Source organism: Homo sapiens, chromosome 9, assembly GCF_000001405.40.
Source record: "Homo sapiens chromosome 9, GRCh38.p14 Primary Assembly".
Classification (NCBI taxonomy): domain Eukaryota; kingdom Metazoa; phylum Chordata; class Mammalia; order Primates; family Hominidae; genus Homo; species Homo sapiens.
Window position 1 is genome coordinate 95,407,249 of NC_000009.12, and position 24,421 is coordinate 95,431,669.

The following is a 24,421-nucleotide window of genomic DNA, read 5'->3' on the forward strand; positions in this document are numbered from 1 at the left end:
TGGGGGTACAGCTGAACCTACAAATTGCGGGTTAAGTGGCTCCAGTAGAGGCTATAAAGGCAGAGAGCCAAGCAGACCATTACGAGCTTCTCCTCCAGGAAAATGGAAGCCATTTAAGAAATTCCAGGAATTGCTTGGAACATGCAGGATTCTTAAACAAAGGACCTTTGTGACATTCAGAATTACCAAACTTAGGAGAGGAAAAAACTCACACCTTGCTTGCCTCCCTTTCCTTGGTCTACTTCTATTGCTTGGTCTAGATCAATTGAAAAGACCTCCAGATTTGGAATCTAACCACAACCCCACATTTTTGTGAGGAGTGCAAAGGGGAGTTGCACCTTCTTGAGGATCCTGCCCATATGCTGTCCCAGGTGTTTCCCACCTGGTTTGCACAATCTTCAGTTCTGCAGTAATCTTTTCTTTTTTTTCTTTTCTTTTCTTTCTTTCTTTCTTTTTCTTTCTTCCTCTTTTTCTTCCTTCCTTTCTTTCTTTCCTTCTTTCTTTCTCTCTCTCCTTTTCTTTCTTTCTTCTTTCTCTCTCCTCTCTTTCCTCTTTCTTTTTTTTCTCTCTCTTTCTCTTCTTTTGTTTTTCTTTTGAGATGGAATTTCACTCTTGTGGCCCAGGCTGGAGTGCAATGGCATGATCTTGGCTCACTGCAAACTCTGCCTCCCCGGTTCAACTGATTCTCCTGCCTCAGCCTCCCGAGTAGCTGGGATTACAGGCATGCACCACTATGCCAGGCTAATTTTGTATTTTTAATAGAGACAGGGTTTCACCGTGTTGGCCAGGCTGCTCTTGAACTCCTGACCTCAGGCAATTCGCCTGCCTCGGCCTCCCAAAGTGTTGGGATTACAGGCGTGAGCCACCGTGCCTGGGCTGTAATGTTTTCTTAGGTAGAAAAAAAATGCTGCAATTCATGCTTCATACAAAGTCTTCCTATTGCTGGGCCAGGTGTGGTGGCTTATGTCTGTAATCTCAGCACTTTGGGAGGCCGAGATGGGCAGATCACTTGAGGTCAGGAGTTTGAGACCAGCCTGGCCAACATGGCGAAACCCTGTCTCTACTAAAAATACAAAAAGTTAGCTGGGCTTGGTGGTGGGCGCCTGTAATCCCAGCTACTCGGGAGGCTGAGGCAGGAGAATTGCTTGAATACGGGTGGTGGAGGTTGCAGTGAGCAGAGATCATACCACTGCACTCCAGCCTGGGTGACAGAGCAAGACTCCAACTCAAAAACAATAACAACAAAACAATAACAACAATAAAGTCTTCCTATTGCTGCAAGTATATGGTAGAAGAAAATCATAACAAAAACAAAAGGATAAAGTTAAATTCTCACTCAGAGACTTCTGCTCTCATCTTATCCATTAGAACTGGGCTGTGTGACCACCCCTGGCTGCAAATGAAGGTGTGTAATTTTTCGGCCCAGTGCTGCCCTGTCAAAATCACCATGGTTAGGGAGAAGGACAGAACGGATATTGGATGGATGCTAGCAGGTTCTGCCCATTCATCATCTTTTATAAACTGTGGGCCTTTCTAATGTTAGTTACAATGAACCGGTCACAACAGCCCCATGCTGTTGTGAAGCACTTCTTAGTTCTTTATTCCCAGGCAATACAAATCCACAGTGAAAAAAAAAATTTAAATTAGAAAATACACCTTAGAAAGAAAGATTTAAAAATACCTATAATCCATTACGCAGAGAGTACCAGTGTTAACCTTGCGGTGTATTTTCTTTCGAACATGGATGTGTATGTGCATACACATACACATACACACAATTTTTTGTTTTGTTTTGCTTTTTTTTTTTGCATAGATGGACCAATGAGATTTGAATGGCGAGGCTGACTGGAAACTTTGTAATCACAAAGATGGCCAAATCCATCGTCAGGGGTCCTCCCTCCAGGGCTGGTTCCTCCTCAGGAGGAGGGTCAGCTGCTGGGGGCCAGAGGCGCCCCAGGCTGTGAGGACTGCCTGGAGGTGGCATAGGAGGCTGGTGCCCAGCCAAGCTGAGCAGGAAGGAAAGGCCCTCTCAGGGCAGATGACCCCAAAGTTCTCTTCCTCCAAAAATGAGGATAGTAATGACCAAATCGTATTAAACATGAACATTAGAAAACATAATGATATAAAGTCACTTTATAAACTGAAAACGCTATACCACCATAAGGTGGTATCATAATCACTGTTTTTGTTGTCAACATTAATAACAATATCTAATATTTATTGAGCACATGCTATGTGCCAGGCACTCTGCCACTAACTATGTATGAATTATTTAACCCTCAGAATAACCCCATGGTATGGGTTTTTAAAAATTATCATCTTTTTTGTAGATGAGGATATTGAGGCAAGATTAGGTAACTTGCCTAAGCTCACAGCTGGTAAGGGACTGCTAGGACTGCAACCCAATTCTAATGCAGAATCCTGTTCTTCTAGAGAATCTAGTTTTCAGTCTTCATTATTTAGATTGTCTACCTTGGATGCTTTCTGGTTATTTTAAAATTCATTGCCTGTAACTTAAAAAATACTCCAAATATAGCCTGACCATCAAAGAATATAATGTGATTGATTATCACCTCCTTCATTTGAAATATTATGCCTTCATTAATGCATCCAGACATTTTATTGGTTTTTTGAAAAACTAGGTCCCACTGATGGCTTATCTGAATTTGAAGTCTGCATTTCCTAAGTCCTTCTCTTTTGCACTGTTAAACTTTATCTCCCTTACTGCGAACTCATACAAATGAAATTGGACATCAGTCTTTAATAGGTTGTCTTGATTGAAGCCCCAGCCAGCGTGTGGAAACTCTTAAGAAATCAATAAAATATTCTTCTGCTGGGTGTTCTATGCAAGATTCTCAAATGCTAATTGTTATTGTGAAATGGTGAGTCATCTGAAAGAGTTTCCTTGTCAAGCTGCATTGCATCATATGGGAACTGTTTTAAATAGACCACCCTGTACACAAACATTTTCATCTTGGTGCATTCAGGCACCACTTCTGTGTAGTGGGAGATTAATTGTCCTCTCCACTGAACAGGGGGAGCGGCTGCACAGGGAGCACCACGCGGGGCTGCAGGGAGGGCCAGAGCTCCTGGGTCTCCTCCCGCTCCATTTCCAGAGGGTGACATCTGATCTCTTCATAAAAGTGAAAATTTAACAGGAGAGAGAAAGGGTTGAGCAGCCCAAGTTTTCCACTGAATCAAAAACAGACCATTCATAAGAAAAGAAGATTCTTTAAAATGGAACTTAAACAGGATGGATGAGATAAGAATTTGAATTAAAATATTTTAAATGTTACTTTGAACAAGTCAGGACGAAAATGGAATGAAATTTCAAGCAGCATTGGAGGGGGACAGGGGGTGATCCTGGACTATGTATGAATACAGGGTGGAGAGAAAGAGGGGCCTTGGCTTGCAGAAAGTGAAAGAGACATACAGGAATTCTACTTAACTGGTTAATTTGCAGACAAAGAACAATATAAATTTCACTGTTTGAAGGAGGGGGAAATCTCCTCTTAGAAAAACAAAAAACAAAGCAGATTTTCACAGCTCCGCGCATATTTCCCTTCTCCGCAGTGATGAAAGTGTTTGCACTAATTTTCCAGGGAGACCAGAAAATATGTATAGTGTGTTTTGTCTCCAGTGGCATCCTGGGTCACTGAGCACCGTCATTCAATGTGATTTGTTGATGGATAGATGGAAGAATCGAACCTTTCAGCATCAGGGGAAAAAAGTAGCCAGAACTCAGCATCGATGGGAGCCCCAGTGGAAAATAATCTGAAATGTTAAATCTTAAAGTTACAGAAGACGCTGTGCCATGGAATGAAGTGCAAACACTGTCACTGGGAGAGGTCGGGCCCAATCGCTTTTGCCTCTTTCTGTTGGATAAGGTTATGCTTCTAGAAGATGAGAGGGCAGTGACAAAAACAGAGTGTTCCATGTGGCCTCTGAATGGACCAGACTCAGGCCCTCCAGGTCAATTGTGTGCAGAAAGAAAGGCCCAAACTGCTAACTAGGGTTGCCCAGAGAACTGGTGGCTGTGGGAGTGGGCGGGGGCGGGGCGGGGGAGGTGAAGAGAATTCTCTCTCTGCTCAGAAGGGAAAATTCTCCACCAGCTCTTTCCCAGCTGAGTGCAGAAAGGGAACACATCCCGACACCCCCTCAAGTTCCCAAGGGAACAGGAGGCCGCTTGAGCTCTCCCCTTCATCACCTCTTGGTTCACTGAATGAAACAGCCTCTTCCCTGGGGCTGGGGTGAGACCCCGGGCGCACCCGCATGGCCTGCTACTCAGCATCCTGCCCCTCTGCAGGCTCACGGGGAGTCCACTCCAAGCCTGGGTGGAGTGGAACAGCGGCTGAGCCCATTTGCCTTGACTCGCGGTAGGATGTTCAGACAGGAGCAGGTCAGGCGGATGACTGGGAGACTGGACGACCTGGAATGGGATACAGGAAAAAGGAATGAGCCCCTGCCATGTGCCAGGCCTGTGCTTAATGCTTCACCGCAGTCCTCCTGCTGAATCCTCCCGTTTGACAGATGAGGACCTGGAGGCGGAGGGACCGTGAGCAATCTGCCGAAGCCACATGTCACGTCAGTAGCAGAGCAGGATGGTCACCTCATCTGTCAGAAGCCTCATGATGGGCTTGGCCCAGAAAAGCACCAGCTCAGGGCCTTAGGAAGTCAGGGAGGGCTCCAGGTGTAATGGGTTCATGTCTGCACAGAGACTGGACGGGGTGGTCAGTCATGAACCCCTGAAATGCCTACGGCATGAAGGGAACGACAATAGGCTGAAATGAGACTTTGTCCCATTTGGGACCTCAGGAAGCTGACTCTGAGATTTGCCTCCTGAAGTTTATTGAGGTACTCCCAGGATCAACATCTGTGAAGGAAGAGAAAGAGGCAGGATGAGGCAGAGAGATGCTGAGCTGCAAGGCAGTCTCCACGAGGCCTCCGACAACCCCAGGGCAAGTCTGAAGTGGAAAGAGCCCTCAGAGGGCGGGGCTTTTGTACCCCTGCCCCATTGCCCACTGGACACAGCTGTCCTGGGGAAGGGGCATGAACTCGGGAAAGTGGCTGTTTTGAGCTGAAGGCAAATCACAGAGAGGAATTCAGTTGAGAGCTGTGGGCAGCCAACACTCGGTATAGCCAAGAGCATGAAGGCCTGAGCTGTCGGGGGACTCTGGGACACTGTTCAGCTGTACAAAAATACCTCCACCAATAGGCCAAGATGGGAGGTGTGGAACAAGACCCAAACCAGGGTCCTTTAACGGAATCTTTGGTGGAGAGATACATGGTTTTCCACATATTAATATTTCTGAAATTGAGATGCATTTTGCAATTCAGGTCAAAGTAGGCTTGTCAGCTGCAAAGCTGTTATTAAATTGTTGGTGGGTTTTGGAACAGAAGATCTGAGAGTTGAGGAAACATCATATTGAACTGACTGGCTGATAATGAGGCTGCGGTGGGGGATGTATGAGAGAGGTCTAGTCTTGCCAACGGCTTCAGGAGAGGGACTCCTGCCACACCACAGCAGGGAGGTAAGGGCTCCTCCCTCTTGCTTGCTTCAGAGCTACCGTCAATAATTTTTGCTTACCTGGTTTTAGTCTGAACTTCTGAAAACAAGTAAACAAATAAATGAGTACTGCCAACCTTAAGTATCTTCAGGGGATTGGTCTCAGGACCCCCGTGGATGCTAAAAAGCAGCAGATGCTCAGGTCTCTTCCATAAAATGGTACAGTATGTACACATAGCCCACACACACTGTCCCACATGCTTTAAATCATCTCTAGATGACTTATAATACCTAGAACAATGTAAATGCTATGTATATAGTTGTTAACACTGTATTTTTATTTGTATTACTTCATATTGTTGCATTTTTTTTTAAGTCAAAAGTGTTTTACTGTTATTTACATATTTATAGAAAAAGGAATGTAGCAAATGGCTCAGGGTCATATGAAAAAAAAAATCCAGGTTTGTATCCAAGTTGCTTCATTTACATCTGGGAGCAGGGCTGTCCCCACATCAGGCACAGCAGCTGCACTTCTCTGTTGCCCCTTTGCAGATGCAGCCCTGGGCACACTTGGCACAGCCCACAGGGCAGCAGGAGCAGATCTTCTTGCAGGAGGTGCATTTGCACTCTTTGCATTTGCAGGAGCCAGCACAGGGCCAGCAGCCGCCAGTGGTGCAGGAGCTGTTGGGGTCCGTTTTGAGCAAAGGAGACGCTGGAGTTCCCATGGGAAAGGTGAAGAGGCAGTCAGGCAACTGGAAGGTGTCATATGGTTGCATTATTATTTTTTATTTTCATTTTTTGAATAATTTTGATCTGAGGTTTGTTGAATCCGTGTATGTGGAACCCTTGGACATGGAGGGCCAAATGTCATGACAAATTGTAGTACCTGTGGTGTGTGACTCCAGGGCCACTTTAATTAATAAACTACATTAGTAAACAGCTTTGGGTCTTTTTCAAACTGCCCTAGAAATCTCCTTAGAGGGTTCAACTTTGTTACTGGAAAAGACTAATGTGGCCTGGTAGATAGAATTTAAAGTCCACATAATTTTTAAGCAATTTTTTTTCCTGGCATTCACATGTTCTTGATTCTAAGTAATGTGTGCACCCTGACCTCTTCTGATTCATCCGTTTTAACTACTAACTTCACATGATGGTCAAGGAGCCATCCTTCAGCCCTCCCTCAGCAGTCCTTCAATATAATTATATTGCAAATTGTAGGATTAAATAACACATAGTGTTTACATTATCCTATGTACATATTACTCCCAGCCGAGCACTGTAGGGTACTGTGACCATGCCCCTGTCCTTACTGCCCCCTGCCTCCTCATGTTAATGATTGCTTTTCTTTCTTTTTCCTTAGTTTTCTTTCTCACACCTTTTAATAACTTCCTGGTATAACTTCCCACAACTTCCTCCAGCTTCCTCATGAAGTCATCCATCTGGGCCACCATTTTCTTGTAGACGTCCCTGCTGGAACCCTCCACTCTCCTTCTCGGTCCTTCTAGGACTTCTTTTATGGCCCTCCTTGGGACTGCCTTCCTTTCTATGGGACTGCATTCTCTACTTCCTAGGTCTTCTATCTTCTCAGGGCAGGAATGGAAAGGGGGCAGGGCAAAGAACAGATACACACACACGCACACATGTATATACACACACATAGAGACCACACTACTGAGGTATCATTTACATACAGTGAAATGCACAGGTCTTAATTGTAGAGTTCCATGGGGTTTGACAAATTAATATCTTGAGGAAGATACGGAGCATTTCTATCCCCTAGAAAGTTTCCCTGTACCCCTTCTCAGTTAATCCCACCTCATACTCCCAAAGCAACCACTGATCTGATCTCAATCACATACATTAGATTTGTCCTGCCAATGATAGAACTTCATATAAATGGAATTACGTAGAGGATATGTTGTGGGAGGGTCTGGCATTTTTCACTCAGCACAATATTTTTTAACACCCATCCTTACTGCTGCATATCATTTGTTCCTTTTAGTGCCAGAGCAACTGTATTTCATAAATGCCTGTCTTAGTCAGTGCAAGATGATACAAAAAGAATACCATAGACTGGGTGGCCTAAACAATGAACATTTATTTCCTCATCACATTAGGAACTAGGGTCATAACGTACGAATTTTAGGGAGACACATAAGTTCAGTCCATAGCATTCTACCCCTGGCCCCCCAAAATTCATGTCCTTCTCATGTGCCAAATACACATTGTCCTCAACATATGATGGTTCAACTTACAATTTTTAAATTTTGCGATGGGTCTATCAGGAAATAAATAACCCCATTGTAAGTTGAAAAGCATCTTCTGATTTTTTGACTTTACCATGGGTTTATCAGGGTACTGAATGCATTTTTACTTATATATTTTTTTACTTACAATGGGTTTATTGGGACATAACCCCATTCTAAGTCAAGGAGCATCTGTACATTCATTCCATCCTCCAAAGTCTTAACTCATTCCAGCAACAACGCTAATGTCTAAAGTCCAAAGTCTTTTCTAAATATCTTCTAAATTAGGTACAGTGAGACTTGAGTTATGATTCATCCTGGGGCAAAATTCCTCTCCAGCTGCGAATCTGTGAAACCAAACAAGTTGTATACTTCCAAAATACATTGGTGGGACAGGCATAGGATAGGCATTCCCATTCCAAAAGCAAGAAACACAGAAGGAAGGGGTGACCCAGTCCCAAGCAAGTCCAAACTACAAAGCAAACTCCATGAAATCTTAAGGCTTGGGAGTAATCCTTGGTTTGATGCCCTGCCTTCTGGAGCCACTAGGGTAAAGGTCCCACCCCAGCAGCATTCCTGGCCAGATGTTGCACCCCTAGCTTCTCTACCAGGCAAAGATTGTGCCTCCACATCTTTGGTTGGAAGCTGTCTGGACTATTGAAACCAGGGCAATAGTCCTTCAAATTGGAGGCAGAGGACCTCCAAATTGCCTCGGGGCCCTTCATCCCTTTTACTAGATGATAGCACAAAGTCACGGCCTTCCTTCATTCCATTCCATGTTCTGTTTTTTTTAGTCCCAGCCAGCAGTGTCTCTGCAGGTGTAATCCCATCTGTATTCCCGGCCTCTGTTGAAATGGCTGATTAAGTTCATGGTACACAGCCACACTAATCTCTTTATGAAATGGTTGGTCCACCACACCCTTAGTGTTCTCTTCAGTACACACTTTCTCATTTTTCGTCATATGAACAGACAGAGAATTTTCCAAATCTTTAAACTCTGGTTCATTTTTGCTCAACAATTCCTTTTTCAATTCATTTCTCTCTTCTTGCATTTTACTACAATCAACTGGGAGGAACCAAGTCACTTCTTCGACATTTTGCTTAGAAATCTCCTCAGTAAAATATCCAGTTTCATCCCTTGCAAGTACTACCTTCCACAAAACACTAGGACACAAACACAATTCAGCCAAGTTATTTGCCACTGTATAATAAGGATGGCCTTTCCACCGTCATCCAATAACACTCTTCATTTACGTCTGAGACAACATCAGAAAGGCTTTTACCTCCATATTTCCATCAACATTCTGTTCATAATTACTTATGTATTCTTTAAGGGCCAGTTCATAATGATACAAGGCTAGATTCACAATAAAAATAAATTTAAATTTGTATGTACCTAATAGTATAACCTCAATATATTAAACAAAAAGTGACACCTAAAATAAGAAATAGATAAACCCACAATCATAGGGGAAATTTTAAAACGCTTTGCTCAGTAGTTGAAAGAAAAATTGTTGATATAGAAGATTTGAGTATGATTAACAAGCCTAAACTAAATGATGTGTAGATCCTGTCCCCAACGGTTGCACAATACACACTATTTTCAAGCAAACAAGTAATATACAAAAATTCACAATATATTGGAGGTAAAAAGCAAGTCTCAATAAATTTTACAGAGGAATGTTCTCTGATCACAATGAAATTATGTCAGAAATCAATTATTAAAAGTAAAATCAGTAATTAAAAGGAAACATTTCCACTTGGTTGAAAATTATGTAAGACAACCCTAAATATATTATGGTCAAATAAGAAATCACAATGAAATTTGGAAAATACTTAACTGAACTAAAATGAAATAATACATATTAAGACATATGAAATATAAAACATAGAATAGCTGTAATCCCAGCACTTTGGGAGGCTGAGGCAGGAGGACTGCTTAAGCCCCCAAGACCAGCCTGGGCAACAAGGCAAGACCTCATCTTTCAAAAACATTTAAAAAAATTAGCTAGGCCTGGTGGTGTGCACCTGTGGTCTCAGCTACTTGGGAGGCTGAGACCAGGAGGTCAAGGCGGCAGTGAGCCACGATTGTACCACTATACTCCAGCCTGGGCAACAGAGTGAGACCCTGTCAAAAAAAAAAATGTAATAGGAAAAAGTCTGAAAATCAACAATTCAAACTTCCATCTCAATAACTGGAAAAAGAAACAGCAAAATAAACACAAAGAGGATGGAAAGAAAATGATAAATATAGGAGCAGAAGCTAGTGAAATACAAAGCAAACATATAAAATGAGGACCAACAAGGTCAAAAGTTGGTTCTTTAAAGAGATTAATAATTGACAAACTTCTGGTATGACTAATCAAGAAAAAAGAGAGAAACCACAAATAACCCAAATTGGGAATCTTATAAAAAGGGAGACATCACTACAAATGCTATAGATATTTTAAAAGATCATAATGTATTATTATGAACAACTTTATGCTAATACATTTGAAAGATTAGACAAAATGGAAAATTTTGTAGGAGAAAAAGTAACGTACCAATTTTGAATGAAGAAGAAATTAAAAAATCAGATTGTTCTAGAATAGAACTGTCCAAGAGAAATATAACATGAACCAAAGATGTAAGCCATTAGGCATTTTTAAATTTTCTAGTAGCCACATTTTAAAAAGTAAAAGGAAATTATTGTAATTAATTTTAATAATATATTTTACTTAACCAGGGATATTCAAAATATCATTTCAACATGTAATCAATATAAAAATTATCAGCAAATATTCTTTTTTGGTACTAAACTTTCAAAATCTGATGTGTATTTTATATTCGCAACATGTCTCAATTTGAACTAGCTGCACTCTGCACTTCCAGGGCTCAATAAACACATGTAGAGGGTATCCACCATATTGGATAGTGTAGATTTAGACCAAGGTTGGAGAAGCTGCCTTACCAGATATCAGGATTTATTATTTTTTAAAAATTTTAATGTAATAATTAAAACAAGGTAGGTTTTACGCAGAGCAAGACAAAAGCACCAATGGCTGTCTCATTAATAATCAGGAAATGCAACTTAACACCACTCTGAATAACCCTATATGCCCATTGGATTTCCAGAATTGGAAACTTCTGATAATGCCACGTGTTGGTAAGAATACAGAACGGTGTTTTATTTATTTGCCTGGGAGGCAAACTTAAATGTTGATGTTTAGTTTATTGTTAAAACAAACAAACAGGCAAACTGTTCATTATTACAGAAACCATATTGCTACAGCGAAGAAAATTTCAAAATATAGGCAAGCAAAGCGAAACAAACCAACAAAACAAATCATATTTCTGCTAGCCAGAGATCGCCACTGTGAGGTGTGAGTATTTGTGTGTATACGTGTATGGGTGTGGTGTGTGTGTGTGTGTGTGTGTGTGTTTTGGAGAGAAAGAAAAATAGGTTTGCTTTTCAGAAGCCTCAAAGATGCAGAGTGAATAGTCAGAAATGTTGAAAATACTTAAACAGTCAAGAAGGCTGCAAGATTTTAAATTAAATCTTAACGTATCAAGAAGCGCTACCTGGAGTAGAATGTGAAAACAATGGGAATCTAGATGCTAAGAGATCTTTTTTTTGAGACAGAGTCTCGCTCTGTCGCCCAGGCTGGAGTGCAGTGGCACGATCTTGGCTCACTACAAGCTCAGGCTCGTGGGCTCACGCCATTCTCCTGCCTCAGCCTCCCGTGTAGCTGGGACTACAGGCGCCTGCCACCACATCCGGCTAATTTTTTGTATTTTTAGTAGAGACGGGGTTTCACCGTGTTAGCCAAGATGGTCTCTATCTCCTGACCTCGTGATCTGCCCGCCTCGGCCTCCCAAAGTGCTGGCATTACAGGCGTGAGCCACCGCACCCGGCCGCCTCCCCAGCTTTAATCATCGTGTTTCTTTATAAACTTTTATATAACCCAAGCAAGGCAGCTTTGTAGCTGTACATTGAAGGTGAGGGGCACTGAAGTGTTTCTCCCCTTCAACGAAGCTAGGGAATCACACAGGGTCTCCCTCACGCAGCCAAGGAAGCAGGAGGCGCATAGCACGAGTCTGCAGTCCTATGTATAATTCAAGGGGATGTTGGTAAATGCATCACGGGTAAAGAAAAATTACAAGATCTACGGAGCCAAGCATGATGGATTGCTTCAAAGCAGGTTGCTTACCAAGAGCGGCCTGTATCATGCTGTGCATGACAATCTCTGTAAGAAAATCACAGGTTGATAATCCAGAGGCTGTGTTTACATGCACACACACATCTTCAATCCCTTGGATGAACATCTGATTTGTGTTACTCTCTTTGAGTTTCAGAATTTCCATCTGGAATGTTACCTCACCAAACCAAACTACCTTAGGTCTAGTTAGTTTGAAGTCTGATTTTTTCCATTACTAGAAGGCAATCTTGGAATAAAGTCTTTAAAAATATTATAGTCTTTCTGCAGATGTATTTATCTCTTTCCATCAAAACAACATACTAAAGTTTACAATAAATTCTTAAGAAGAAATGAATAGATGAACTTCAAAACTCTATCAGTGTTTATGTACTCTATGGAAAGTGTTCCATTTTAAGTCAATTAGAAAGCAGAATTTTTTTTCCAGGTCTATGAAACTGTGGTGGTGCCTATGATGTGTCAAAACAGAGAAATGAAAATGGAAATGAAATCAGATGTGGGTGCTTTACCATAGCAATGGCAGTGATACATAAAAGTCACAAGTTGCTTCAATGTTAGCAAAAATCTAAAGTTATAGACAAAATATATAGATGCAAACAATAAACTGGATTTTCAAATTTTCATTCAATTGCTTGAGTGTTGTATAGGCACAGAATTAAAACAGAAATTGGAGGTAGAAAGGAACCGATATTCCAGGTACCTCAGAGCAGGATCTGTGTCAGATTCATTTTCTCTCTCTCTCTCTTTTTTTTTTTTTAATGGAGTTTTGCTCTTGTTGCCCAGGCTAGAGTGCAATGGCACGATCTCGGCTCACAACAACCTCTGCCTTCCAGGTTCAAGCGATTCTCCTGCCTCAGCCGCCCAAGTAGCTGGGATTACAGGCATGCACCAGCACGCCCAGCTAATTTTGTATTTTTAGTAGAGGTGGGGTTTCTCCATGTTGATCAGGCTGGTTTCGAACTCCCGACCTCAGGTGATCCGCCCGCCTCGGCCTCCCAAAGTGCTGGAATTACAGGCATGAGCCACTGCACCCGGCCAGATTAGTTTTCTTATTACCATATTCCTCAGAACAGTCCCTGGAGCTTGTGTTCAAAATGTTTGTTGACTGACTGAATGAATGACCTAGTGTATGAGCGTGTGGAGTTGTAGCCTGTGTGCTTTGCTGAGTCAATGATTTTACTATGTTGGTTCTCAAAAAAAACGGCTTTACAATATAAAATCAAAGTAAAATAAAATTAATTAACAAATCAGCAACTTTACTCATGGATCTTTGCTAGGCACTGTGGTAAACGGAAAGATGAGTAAATCTTTAATAAGTGGGACACACTGGGATGGGATGAAGTAACAATTGAAGATTAAATGCATTTGTGAATACTGAGGCCACAGGAACACTGAATAGCTTTTAATTGAGGACTTGTCCTATTCTATTAGACATCAAAATTAAAAACAGCTTCAAAATGCTCTTATTTTGACACATTCCCCTCCCTCTCCTTCTGTCACAGCCATCAAAGTCCAAGCATCTCTGCCTAATTGGCATATGTTGAGGTCAGGCTGACAGGAACAGCTGGATGAGACTTGACCTGAAGTTTTGGTTGGATCAATTCACCAACCCCACTGACCCAGAATTGTAGGTATGGCATTTACCACTCACCATATTAATCAATCTGACTGGATATTAAAACCATGCTTTACTTACTGGGGCACACAGACTAAGGGGCTAGATCTCACTTGAAGTGGAATAAAGTGAAAAGCTCACATCCTGGGTCAACATGAAACTGAAAAAATCAATGAATTTGATAGTAAAAAGTAAAACCAGAAGGGTTTTGATGGCTGGGAGATACTGGTGGCTGCCTAAATCCAAATCTCTCTTCTACATCCACCCTCAAAATATAAAATCACCATTGAGTGTCAATAAAACCATACATAGGCTGAGCTGGGAGGACTGCTTGAGGCCAAGAGTTCGAGATTAGCCTGGGCAACATAGTGAGACCCCGTTTCTAAAAAAAGAAAGAAAGAAAATTAGCTGGGTGTGGTGGCATGCACCTTTAGTCCCAGCTGCTTGGGAGGCTGAGGCAGAATGGCTTGATCCCAGGAGTTCAAGGCTGTAGTGAGCTATGATTGCACCACTGCACTCCAGCCTGGGTGACAGAGTGAGACCCTGTCTCTTAAAAAAACAAAAACAAAAACACCCCCAAAACTACACGTGAATCATGCCTTTAGCATTATTAGTGGCAGAGAATACCATGGTCTTCAAATTACTTGTAGATAGAGAAATAAATACCAAATCCCAGGAGAGTCCTACCATCCACCTACAAGCCTGTGGATGCTGAGAGTATGGAGAAGGGGCTTTCAGAGGCCCATAAAAAAATGAGACAGGGAAGTAGAAGATACAGATGAAGCACAGGCAAATTCACCCCGGAAAAGCCCAACAGTAAGTGTCTAAGTATTGAACACATGTCTGGGACATAGTAGTGGAAAGCCACAGTTACAGCATGGGGGCTTGCAGTGAACGGCACTGGAAACCACAGCCATGAAGAAGCAGTGCTGCTGGGAAAGAATAGAGAAGGGATTCGCCCTTGAAGATGCTGCCATGACGGAGAAGAAGGAAGTGAGACGGGCACATTAAAGGAGAAATAAAATGTGCGGTAAACATAACGGCTCACGAGGACTGGTTATTATCATCTCTTCACAACTCTGTGTTCGGTGACACCCCATTGGTAGGTTAAAATCAGCTGTAGTGGGAGTACACGTGTCATGGCAAATGCTACCAATCAGGCTACTTTTTCTTGGAGATCTGGCTGTTAAACATTTACCAGCTGACCACTGCATCTGTCAGTCCCCTTTCTTTACCACCATCACCACCACAACTGCCAACAATATTTTCCATTAAATAAATTGCACTTCAATTAAACTATCTTAAGACGACACTCAACTAGGAACCCTCCTGACAAAACACCCAGAGATAGAAAAAAATCAAACTGACTTCCTATAAAGCAAATGTAAGAAGAAAACAGAAAGTGTTAATTGTAATGTTTGACTGATGAAAGTGTTTTCTAAAAAAAATTCATATCCTGGGCAACATAGTGATACCCCCATCTCTACAAAAAATTTTAAAAAATTATCCAGGCATGGTGGTTCACACTCATGGTCCCAGCTACTCGGGAGGCTGAAGTAGGAGAACTGTGTGAGTCTGGGAGGTTGAGGCTGCAGTGAGCCATGTTTGTGCCACTGCACTCCAGCCTGGGTGACAGAGTGAGACCCTGCCTCAAAAGAAAAAAAAAATTCAGAAAGTAGAATAAAACTTTACACAACTCTCCAAACTCAGTTAAATATCCTAAACCAAATACATGAAGATGGATTTTTTTAAAATGTTAGAATCATAATTTTTAGAAAACCAAGAATAGAAATGGACATAAAACAGGAAGAAATACCACACAAATTGACTAATCTCAAAAAACATATCGAAAGAAAAAGAATTATTTCAGAAATGAAGAACAAATTATAAGTCCCAATGGAAAACAGAATTCAACAAAAATTTAATAAGGGATACTGAAGAAAAGTAGGCAAATGACCAAGAGATTTAAAATGAGGTAAAGAAGTTAGAGTCAGAGAGAAAGTGGTTGAAATGGAAGGCAGACAGAGAAGGTCCAACATATGAATAATTGTGCTCTCTAAAGAGGAAAGCAAAATATTGGAACAGAGCTAATATTTAAGTTTATATTCTAAGATAACTTTCTGGAAATGAAAAAAAATTCATTCTACATATAGAGCAAACTTACTGTGTAAATGAGAAAATTGACAACAGACAATTAACTCTAAGACATATCCTGGTAAAATGATTAGACTTTAAAGACAAAGGAAAGAAATCATCAGAGCCTCCAGGCAAAAAGATCCAGTTACTTACAGGAAAGAAAATCAGGCAGGGTATCAGGCTTCTCACAGCCACAGAAAAGGTCAGGCAGGAGTGAAGCAGCATTTTCATGGACTCAAGGAAAGAAAGTGCCAGTCACAGATTTAATATCCATCCAAGCTATCCATGGAACAGTGTGCTAATGCTCTTCCTGAAGAATACACTGGAGAGTAGACTTCATCCAACCTTAAGTGATCATAGAGGAAACTTCAGCAAAATAACCAGTACTTAATATGTTTAATTGCAGAGCCAGGAGTAAAACAAGGGAGAGAACATGGGTGGAAAACATATAATGGTGATACATTCTGGCAGAGAGGAAGAATACCAGTAAAAGTGAGAGGAGATAGGAACAGGAGGAGGGGGAAGGCTGAATAAGATCACTGCCAGTTGTAATATGTGGGAATCAGAAGACACTACTGACAGGTTAGATCATAAAAGATTAAGTAAAGAAAGAAAAGGAGTTAGGGAAACCATAACATAAAATATATGAAAACAAAGGTAATAACTAGAACAAAAATATTCTTAAATACCAAAAGAAACCTTAAAAATTAACATGAATGGCTGGGCGTGTTGGCTAACGCCTGTAATCCCAGCACTTTGGGAGGCCAAGGCAGGTAGATCACCTGAGGTCAGGAGGTCGAGACCAGCCTGACCAACATACTGAAACCCCGTCTCTACTAAAAATACAAGAAAAATTAGCCAGGTGTGGTGGTGTGTGCCTGTTGTCCCAGCTACTTGGGAGGCTGAGGCAGGAGAATCACTTGAACCCAGGAGGCAGAGGTTGCAGTGAGCCGAGATGGCACCAATGCACTCCAGCCTGGGCAACAGAGCGAGACTCTGTCTCAAAAAAAATTAATATGAATGACATACTAAATAGAGAAAGAAGCACAATAAATAGTATAAAATATACACCAAACTATAACATGAAGTAATATGACAGAGTCGAGATTAAACATGTCACATTAAATGTGCGTAGACTTAATTGACCTATTTATGATAAGATTTTCAAATTGGTTCATATAGGGCCAGGGACGGTGGCTCATGCCTATAATCCCAACACTTTGGGAGGCCAAGGTAGGTGGATCTCTTGAAGTCAGGAGTTCGAGACCAGCCTGGTCAATACATCGAAACCCTGCCTCTACTAAAAATACAAAAATTAGCTGGGCGTGGTGGCACACACCTGTAATCCCAGCTACTCAGGAGGCTGAGGCCCAAGAATCGCTTGAACCTGGGAGGCAAAAATTGCAGTGAGCTGAGATCATGCCACTGCACTTCAGCCTGGGCAACAGAGCAAGACTGTGTTTCAACAAAACAAAACAAAACAGAACAGTTGCCTCATACAGCAAAACCGAAGTCTATGCTGTGATCAAAAGACACATCTAAAACACAGTGATTCAAAACGAGTAAAAAATAAGGAATAAAAACAAAAATTTACCAGGTTAATAGAAACAATAAGAATTCAGGGATTGTTATGACAGTTTAAGACAAAGTAGCATTTAAGCCAAAAAGCATTAAACAAGATGAAAGAGATTTAGTAAAGCTGAAACCATAGTTCGCAAAGGACTGGAACTTGTATTGGAGGAAAATGTTATAAAGAAAATTACTGGGGCAGTTGTCAAAATTGGAATATGGACAGTAGTTTAAATAAAAGTGTTATATCAAAATCAAATTTTCTAAATCAGAGAATAGCCTTGTCCTTAGAAAATATGGAATTATTAAGAAATAAAGGTATATGATGTATGCAACTTACTTGCAACTTGTTAAAAAAGTGGGAATCTGGGTAAAGAGCAAATAAGAGATCTGTGGATTGTGCTTGCAACTTTTTGGCAAGTGCGAAATTACTTCAAATTAAAAGTAAAGTGGCCGGGCGCGGTGGCTCACGCCTGTAATCCCAGCACTTTGGGAGGCCGAGGCTGGCGGATCACGAGGTCAGGAGATGGAGACCATCCTGGCTAACACGGTGAAACCCCATCTCTACTAAAAATACAAAAAATTAGCCGGGCGTGGTGGCGGGAGTTTGTAGTCCCAGCTACTCAGGAGGCTGAGGCAGGAGAATGGGGTGAACCTGGGAGGCGGAGCTTGCAGTGTGCCGAGATTGTGCTACTGCACTCCAGTCTGGGCGACAGAGCGAGACTCCATCTCAAAAAAAAAAAAAAAAAAAAAAAAAAAAAAAAATTAAAAGTAAAAAGAAAAAGCAAACTGTATGCATTGTGAAAACTCATCAAATTTCCTCTTATTTGTGCATTCTACTGTATGTACGTTTTACCTTAAAAAATCCATGAGCCGCCGCGCGCGGTGGCTCACGCCTGTAATCCCAGCACTTTGGGAGGCCAAGGCGGGCGGATCACGAGGTCAAGAAATTGAGACCATCCTGGCTAACGTGGTGAAACCCCGTCTCTACTAAAAAATACCAAAAATTAGCCGGGTGTGGTGGCAGGCGCCTGTAGTCCCAGCTACTCGGGAGGCTGAGGCAGGAGAATGGCGTGAACCTGGAAGGCTGAGCTTGCAGTGAGTCGAGATCGCGCCACTGCACTCAAGCCTGGGCGACAGAGCGAGACTCCCTCTCAAAAAAAAAAAAAAAAAAAGAAAAAGAAAAAAATCCATGAGCGATAAACGAAGATTGAACTCTAGTTATCTAACTAGAGTTAGATAACTACATGCTGAAGTGTTAAAGATTGAAGAATACTGATGTTAGCAACTTGAAATTCTTAAAAATAAGACGACTTGGTGGACAGGTAAGATGGGGACAGACAGGTGGTCATACGCGTGATAAAAGCAAATATAGCAAAATATTAATTACAGAAAGTAAGTGGTGGGTATATGGGTATTAATTGCATAATTCTTTCAACTTTTTCCGTTTGTTCAAAAATTTTCATAAGATGTTGGGGGAAGAAGAGGTGAGTCAGTGGTTTGAGTCAGTGGTTTGATGCTGTGCCGCCTTTATATTAATAAACAGCTGGGTGGCTGGCTAGATCTTCCACTTTCCAGCACTGTCTCTTTTTACTTGGCCTCGGTTAAACTTTAACAACCGGTCCTGTCCCAGGAAGAAGTCTTGGAAGCAGCAGACCCACCCCCTGCATCTCACCCTGGGGCCCTGAGACTCTGTGGGTGAGCACATTTGTTACTTATCAGAACTGGCCCCCACAAATCTAGCTCCATGTCCCCATTTCTCTAAACTGGGAGTACATTAGTCCAGGGCCCTTCACACTTTGATTTGCTTCCTTAGAAACACAGGCGGCCCTGCCTGCACACACCTGTTCCCTGTCCCCGATGCGGCCAGCCGAGCCCCCACTGCCACGGGGAGGTCTGCTTCGGGTTTATGTTTTAGGGTAAGAAAAAGGCCATTAAAATTCTCTCTGATGGTTGAGTCCCTGCTTGTGGGGGAGGGGGAGACGGAGCCAAGGGGAAGAAATTTGCTGGTAAGCAAAGCCCCACTTAAAAATTTTCCCTTTCTTTCTTTTTGTTTCTCCTTTTTTCCCCCTTGAAGCGGCTTTCCCTGGAGTCAAAGCATTTTACAAAAACAAACCACTCCAGAGCTTTCAAGTCTAGGGAAAGCTCAAGCAAAGTTAATTAACATGAAGGTTCTCACAAAAGTTAATTAACATGAAGGGACTCACAAAAGCTGTCTGCTGGCATCTGCTCGCCTGCCTGCCATGTGCAGCGGCCCCTTTGTGCCCGCGCACCCGGCCCGGCCCGGCCCTGCCTGCGCGGCGGCTGCGGCTCTGGGCGGCCCCGGCTCCCGGAGGCCTCTCCCCCGCGGCGGGGCGGGGCTCAGACACCTGGCTCCTGCGGGGCTCCTGCCCTGCTTCCTGTCCTGGTTCCTGCCCCGCTTCCTGTCCTGGTTCCTGCCCCGGCTTCTGCCCGGGTTCCTGCCCCGGCTCCTGCCCCGGCTCCGGTCCGCGGCGAGAAGGTGCGGCCGGCACGAGGCAGCCGCGGGGAGAAGGAATAGAGCGAGCGAGAGGCGCCGGCCCAAGGGGCAGCCAGGAGCCAGACGAGGAAAGCAAGGGAGAAAGGACAATCACAAAATCTCTTTAACATGTGTCTCGTGCAAATCAAGGTTGTTTTTGACGGACTAACTTAAAAATACTGATACACGGCTCTGTGATACACATGCGCAGTGGCTCAGCCTGTAATCCCAGCACTTTCGGAGGCCGAGGCGGGCGGATCACTTGAGGTCAGGAGTTCGAGACCAGCCTGGCCAACATGGTGAAACCCCGTCTCTACTAAAAATACAAAAATTAGCCAGGCATGGTGGCGCACGCCTGTAATCCGAACTACCAGGGAGGCTGAGGCAGGAGAATGGCTTGAACCTGGGAGGCGGAGGTTACAGTGAGCCCAGATTGCACCATTGCACTCCAGCCTGGGTGACAGTGAAATTCCCTCTCAAAAAACAAACAAACAAAAAATACATGCAAAGTATAAATCCCACAAAACAGTCATATCAGAACTGGAGGTCATTATGTTAAGTGAAAAAGGCCAGGCACAGAAAGACAAACATCGCATGTTCTCATTTATTAGTGGGATCCAGAAATCAAATCTGTTGAACTCATGGACATAGAGAGTAGAAGGATGGTTACCAGAGGCTGGGAAGGGGAGTGCGGGGCTGAGGGGAGGTGTGGATGGTTAGTACAAAACGTAAGAAAGAATGAGTAAGACCTACTATTTGACAGCACAATAGGGTGACTATAGTTAATAATAACTTAATTGTACATTTAAAAATACTTAAAGAGTGTTAATTGGTTTGCAACTCAAAGTATAAATGTTCAGGGGATGGATAGCCCATTCTTCATGGTGTACTTATTTCACATTGCATGCTGGTATCAAAACACCAAATATACCCCATAAATATATACACCTACTATGTACCCACAACAAATTTTAAAAGTAATTTAAAACAATTTTTTAAAATCATATAAGGAAATAATGTAATGAATAATATATGACATATTAAGTAATAATTATAATTATTCAATAATATAAAGTTGATATCAATAATCAATATTAAATTTCATCTGTATGAATACTATAATAATATAATAAAAATGTACATTTTCTGTTTTTTTTTTTTATACAGTCTTGCTGTGTCACCTAGGCTGGAGTACAGTTTCACCATCTCGGCTTACTACAAGCTCTGCCTCCTAGGTTCAGGCAATTCTCCCACCTCAGCCTCCCAAGTAGCTGGGACTGCAGGTGTGTGCCACCACACCCAACTAATTTTTGTATTTTTAGTAGAGACGGGGTTTCACCATGTTGTCCAGGCTGGTCTCAAAGTCCTGACCTCAAGTGATCCACCTGTCTAGGCCTCCCAAAATGCTGGGATTACGGGCATGAGCCTCCGTGCCGGGCCTGCCTCTACTCTTATATAAAGATACATTTTTTTTTTTTTTCAGAAACAGGATTATAATGTGCCTACATTTTTGGGTAATTAACGTTTTCATTGATAGTAGGTCATGAACATTTTTCAGTGTCAGTAAATATATGGTCTCTGCAGACCCACAAGGATTTTTCTAATCTTCCAGATAAATTGTCACAAATAAATATGTACACAGGTTTTGCTATGCCACCCTTAGGTGTATACAGTTGAATACAAATGTGCAGTGTTTACATAATGAACCACCTGAGGAAAGGTTATTTCCTTAAAAGAAAGGTTTACTGTGTGAATGCTTCCCTGCAAAGAAGTTGTACAATTGTGTCGGAAAAATCCATTTGTTTGGATTTATAAATTTTGGAGTTCTGCACCATGTACCTGAAACTTTGCTATTAGGGATGGATATGGTTTGGATCTGTGTCCCTGCCCAAATCTCATGTTGAACTGTAATCCCCCATGTTGGAGGAAGGGCCTGGTGGGAGGTGATTGGATCATGGGGACAGATTTCTCCCTTGCCGTTTTCATGGTAGTGGGTTCTCATGAGATCTAGTTTTTAAAAGTGTGTGGCACTTTCCCCTTTGCTTTCTTTCTCCTTCTCCAGCCATGTGAAGATGTGCCTCCCCTTCCACCATGATCGTAAGTTTCCTGAGGCCTCCCCAGCCATGCCTCCTGTTCAGTCTGTGGAACAGTGAGTCAAGTTTTTCTTTATGAAGAAAGAAGTTTTTCTTTCTTCCTAAATTACCCGGTCTCACATAGTTCTTTATAGCAGTGCGAGAACTGACTAATACAGGGACATTTGCCCGGAATGTGAATTTGGTTCCCTTGAGAGCCTTTAAACTGTTTATTTCCAGGTTCCTCCCGGTGTGAAGGAGCATCACTGACTCATGCAGGTCTTTCTTCATTCAGGAACTGGCCCTCCATGGCTGTCGCAGCTCCTTCGAGAACGCCGTGCTGCGGCACTCATGTGCCTGCCCAGAAGCTGCCCAAGTTTGTTCACTGGGGCTTATTTAGGAATTTTGGGGTGTGGGGCTGATAGACTAGGACACAAAGAAAAGACCCGAGGAAGGCAGGGTTTTCACTACAGGTACTTTCTATTATCATGGCCATAGATTTTGTTTTGTTTTTTTCCAAGTGCCTCCTACGTTTCCAGGGGTTCCTGAGACCACTGGACTGAATTGCCCAGTCACTGCTTTGTAGACATCCATAAACAGAAGCATTTTAACATGGCTGGCTCGGGAAGAAAAGTGGATTGTACACACTGCAGCCTTCCCAATCCTGAGGTGATGCAGATGGGCTGGAGACAAAAACTGATCATTTTCATTTCCTCCCGTATGGACTGTTTCAGAATATTCTGCAGCTGATGACAAGAATGGAAACTGTGGATATAGCCAGTAAATGTATACTTAGAAGAGACCAGAAATACTTGCAAGAAAGAGGCCTGCTATGATGTGAGTTGTGTCCCCCCAGATCACATGTTAAGCCTAATCACCAGTGTGATGGTATTGGGAGGTAAGACCTTTGGGAGGGCCTCATGAATGAGATTAGTGCCCTCATAAAAGAGGCCCTGAAGAGCTGCCTTGCCCCATCCACCTTACAAAGGTGCATTGAGAGGGGGCCATCTATGAGTCAGGAAGCAGGCCCTCACCAGACACTGAACCTGCCGGCACCTTGATCTTGGACTTCTGAGCCTCCAGAACCGTGAGAAATGAATGTCTTTGTTTAGAAGCTACCCAGTTTGTGGTATTTTGTTATAGCAGTGCAAACAGACTGAGACAAGCCCCCAATGTGGCAAGGGAAGAAAGGCCATTCCAGATCGTGGGATGAAGTGCACTCTGGGGGTCAAGAGCACGACCTGGGTTTGAATCCTGACTTTGCTCCTTCATGGCAGAAGGATCTTGAGTATATTACTGCCGTGGATTGGTACTCTATGTCCATTCATCTTGTATCTCAGAGATGAGAAACTGAAAACATTTTCCAGACTCCCTTGCAGCTAGGGGTTAGGACCTAGTGTTTAGGTCCTACACATTTGGTGTGGTCAGAGAAAGCAGAACGCAGAAATGAGTACGAGGCCATTTTTGTGTTGTTACTGGTATTTCTCCTGGGAAGCATGGTTTTGGTGGCTTGGTTCAGGAGTTGTCAAGGACTTTCCAGTTTGACTGGTGGCTTCTTGATCTTAAAAGAGGCAGAAACCCTCTTGGTGGTCTGCCTCTGTGGTATTGGCATTGCTTCTGAAAGCTCATCCCACAGTTTTCCCTCCAGCCTTCTCAATAATTCTGTAAACCATTCATTACCTTGTAATAAATATTTTTGCTTAAACTAGGGAGAGTGAAATCTGTTCCCTGTAATGGAATCCTGACCAACAGAGTTCCTTAACCTGTCTGTGATCTGTGATGGTGACAGCTTCTGATGTGTTGCCTGGGCTAGGCTCAGCTACAGACCCCAGCATTCTCTTTTGAGTATGTTTCTGGTTAGGGTGGGCTACAAGAGATTTTCTTTTTGGAGAATTGGAGGATAGAAGGGAAGCAGTGGCCATTTTGTAGCATGCATGCACCTTCTCCCAGGTATTCCCTCAAGCACTAATGTGGGTACTGCTGTGAAGGTATTTTACAGATGTGATGAAAGTCCCAGATCAATCCCCTTCAAGCTGATCAAAAACGAGGTTATTATAGGTGAGCCTGACCTAATCAGTTTGAAGACCTTTAAAATAAGGTATAGGCTTTCCTATGTTTAGAGATGGTATATGAATAAGAGGCTTCAGCTCATGCCTATGGGGCTCCAGCCTGCTCATGATCTCCCCTTCCTGACTGTCTGTCCTGAGGACAACCCCAGACTTGCATAAGCCAGTGTTTTTGGTAATTAATCTATCTATTTATCTATCATCTATCTATCTATCTATCTATCTATCTATCTATCTATCTATCCCTCTATTATCTATCACCTATCTTTCATCTATCTATCTATCTGTCTATCTATCGTCTATCAATCATCTATCATCTATCAGTCTATCATCTATCAATGATCTATTATATATCATCTATCAATCATCTATCATCTATCTGTTGTCTATCAGTCATCTATCATCTATCATCTATCAATCATCTATTATCTATCATCTATCAATCTTCTATCATCTGTTATCTAACTATCTATCTATCATCTATCTATCTATCATCTATATGTCTGTCTGTCTATCTA

The 24,421-nt window shown here is 42.4% G+C and overlaps 1 long non-coding RNA gene and 1 pseudogene across 4 annotated transcripts in view, besides 5 other annotated features; both read right to left on the minus strand.

Moving 5' to 3' along the window:
- The window catches only part of LOC105376156 (uncharacterized), a 40,336-nt gene extending 20,754 nt beyond the window's left edge, over positions 1 to 19,582 (minus strand). For 2 of the 4 annotated variants that reach the window (NR_188614.1, NR_188613.1), the window contains exons 1-2: positions 19,476 to 19,582; positions 4,208 to 4,429 (exon numbers count right to left, since the gene is read on the minus strand). This is a non-coding gene — a long non-coding RNA (uncharacterized LOC105376156). Of the gene's footprint in view, positions 1 to 4,207; positions 4,430 to 7,584; positions 8,917 to 15,852; positions 16,045 to 19,475 lie in introns of those variants that run through there. The other 2 variants (NR_188615.1, NR_188616.1) reach the window with 2 other exon arrangements.
- Positions 2,909 to 3,078: an enhancer, noted in NCBI's record as "experimental_110630 CRE fragment used in MPRA reporter constructs". NCBI's record gives its function as "activates a minimal promoter by MPRAs in K562 erythroleukemia cells, with activity observed for the non-introgressed 9:98172524 variant allele {active_cell/tissue: K562}" and the evidence as "EXISTENCE:reporter gene assay evidence [ECO:0000049][PMID:34662402]".
- Positions 3,767 to 4,387: an enhancer, noted in NCBI's record as "H3K4me1 hESC enhancer chr9:98173297-98173917 (GRCh37/hg19 assembly coordinates)". NCBI's record gives its function as "activates a minimal SCP1, AML or CMV promoter by ChIP-STARR-seq in primed H9 embryonic stem cells {active_cell/tissue: H9 hESC(primed)}" and the evidence as "EXISTENCE:reporter gene assay evidence [ECO:0000049][PMID:30033119]".
- Positions 4,388 to 5,007: an enhancer, noted in NCBI's record as "H3K4me1 hESC enhancer chr9:98173918-98174537 (GRCh37/hg19 assembly coordinates)". NCBI's record gives its function as "activates a minimal SCP1, AML or CMV promoter by ChIP-STARR-seq in primed H9 embryonic stem cells {active_cell/tissue: H9 hESC(primed)}" and the evidence as "EXISTENCE:reporter gene assay evidence [ECO:0000049][PMID:30033119]".
- Positions 4,419 to 4,713: a silencer, noted in NCBI's record as "tiled region #12092; K562 Repressive DNase matched - State 5:Enh". NCBI's record gives its function as "represses a minimal TATA promoter and a strong SV40 promoter by Sharpr-MPRA in K562 cells {active_cell/tissue: K562}" and the evidence as "EXISTENCE:reporter gene assay evidence [ECO:0000049][PMID:27701403]".
- On the minus strand, positions 5,869 to 6,267 carry MT1P1 (metallothionein 1 pseudogene 1; annotated as a pseudogene).
- Positions 19,450 to 19,839: a silencer, noted in NCBI's record as "silent region_20065". NCBI's record gives its function as "represses an Ori minimal core promoter by ATAC-STARR-seq in GM12878 lymphoblastoid cells {active_cell/tissue: GM12878}" and the evidence as "EXISTENCE:reporter gene assay evidence [ECO:0000049][PMID:35858748]".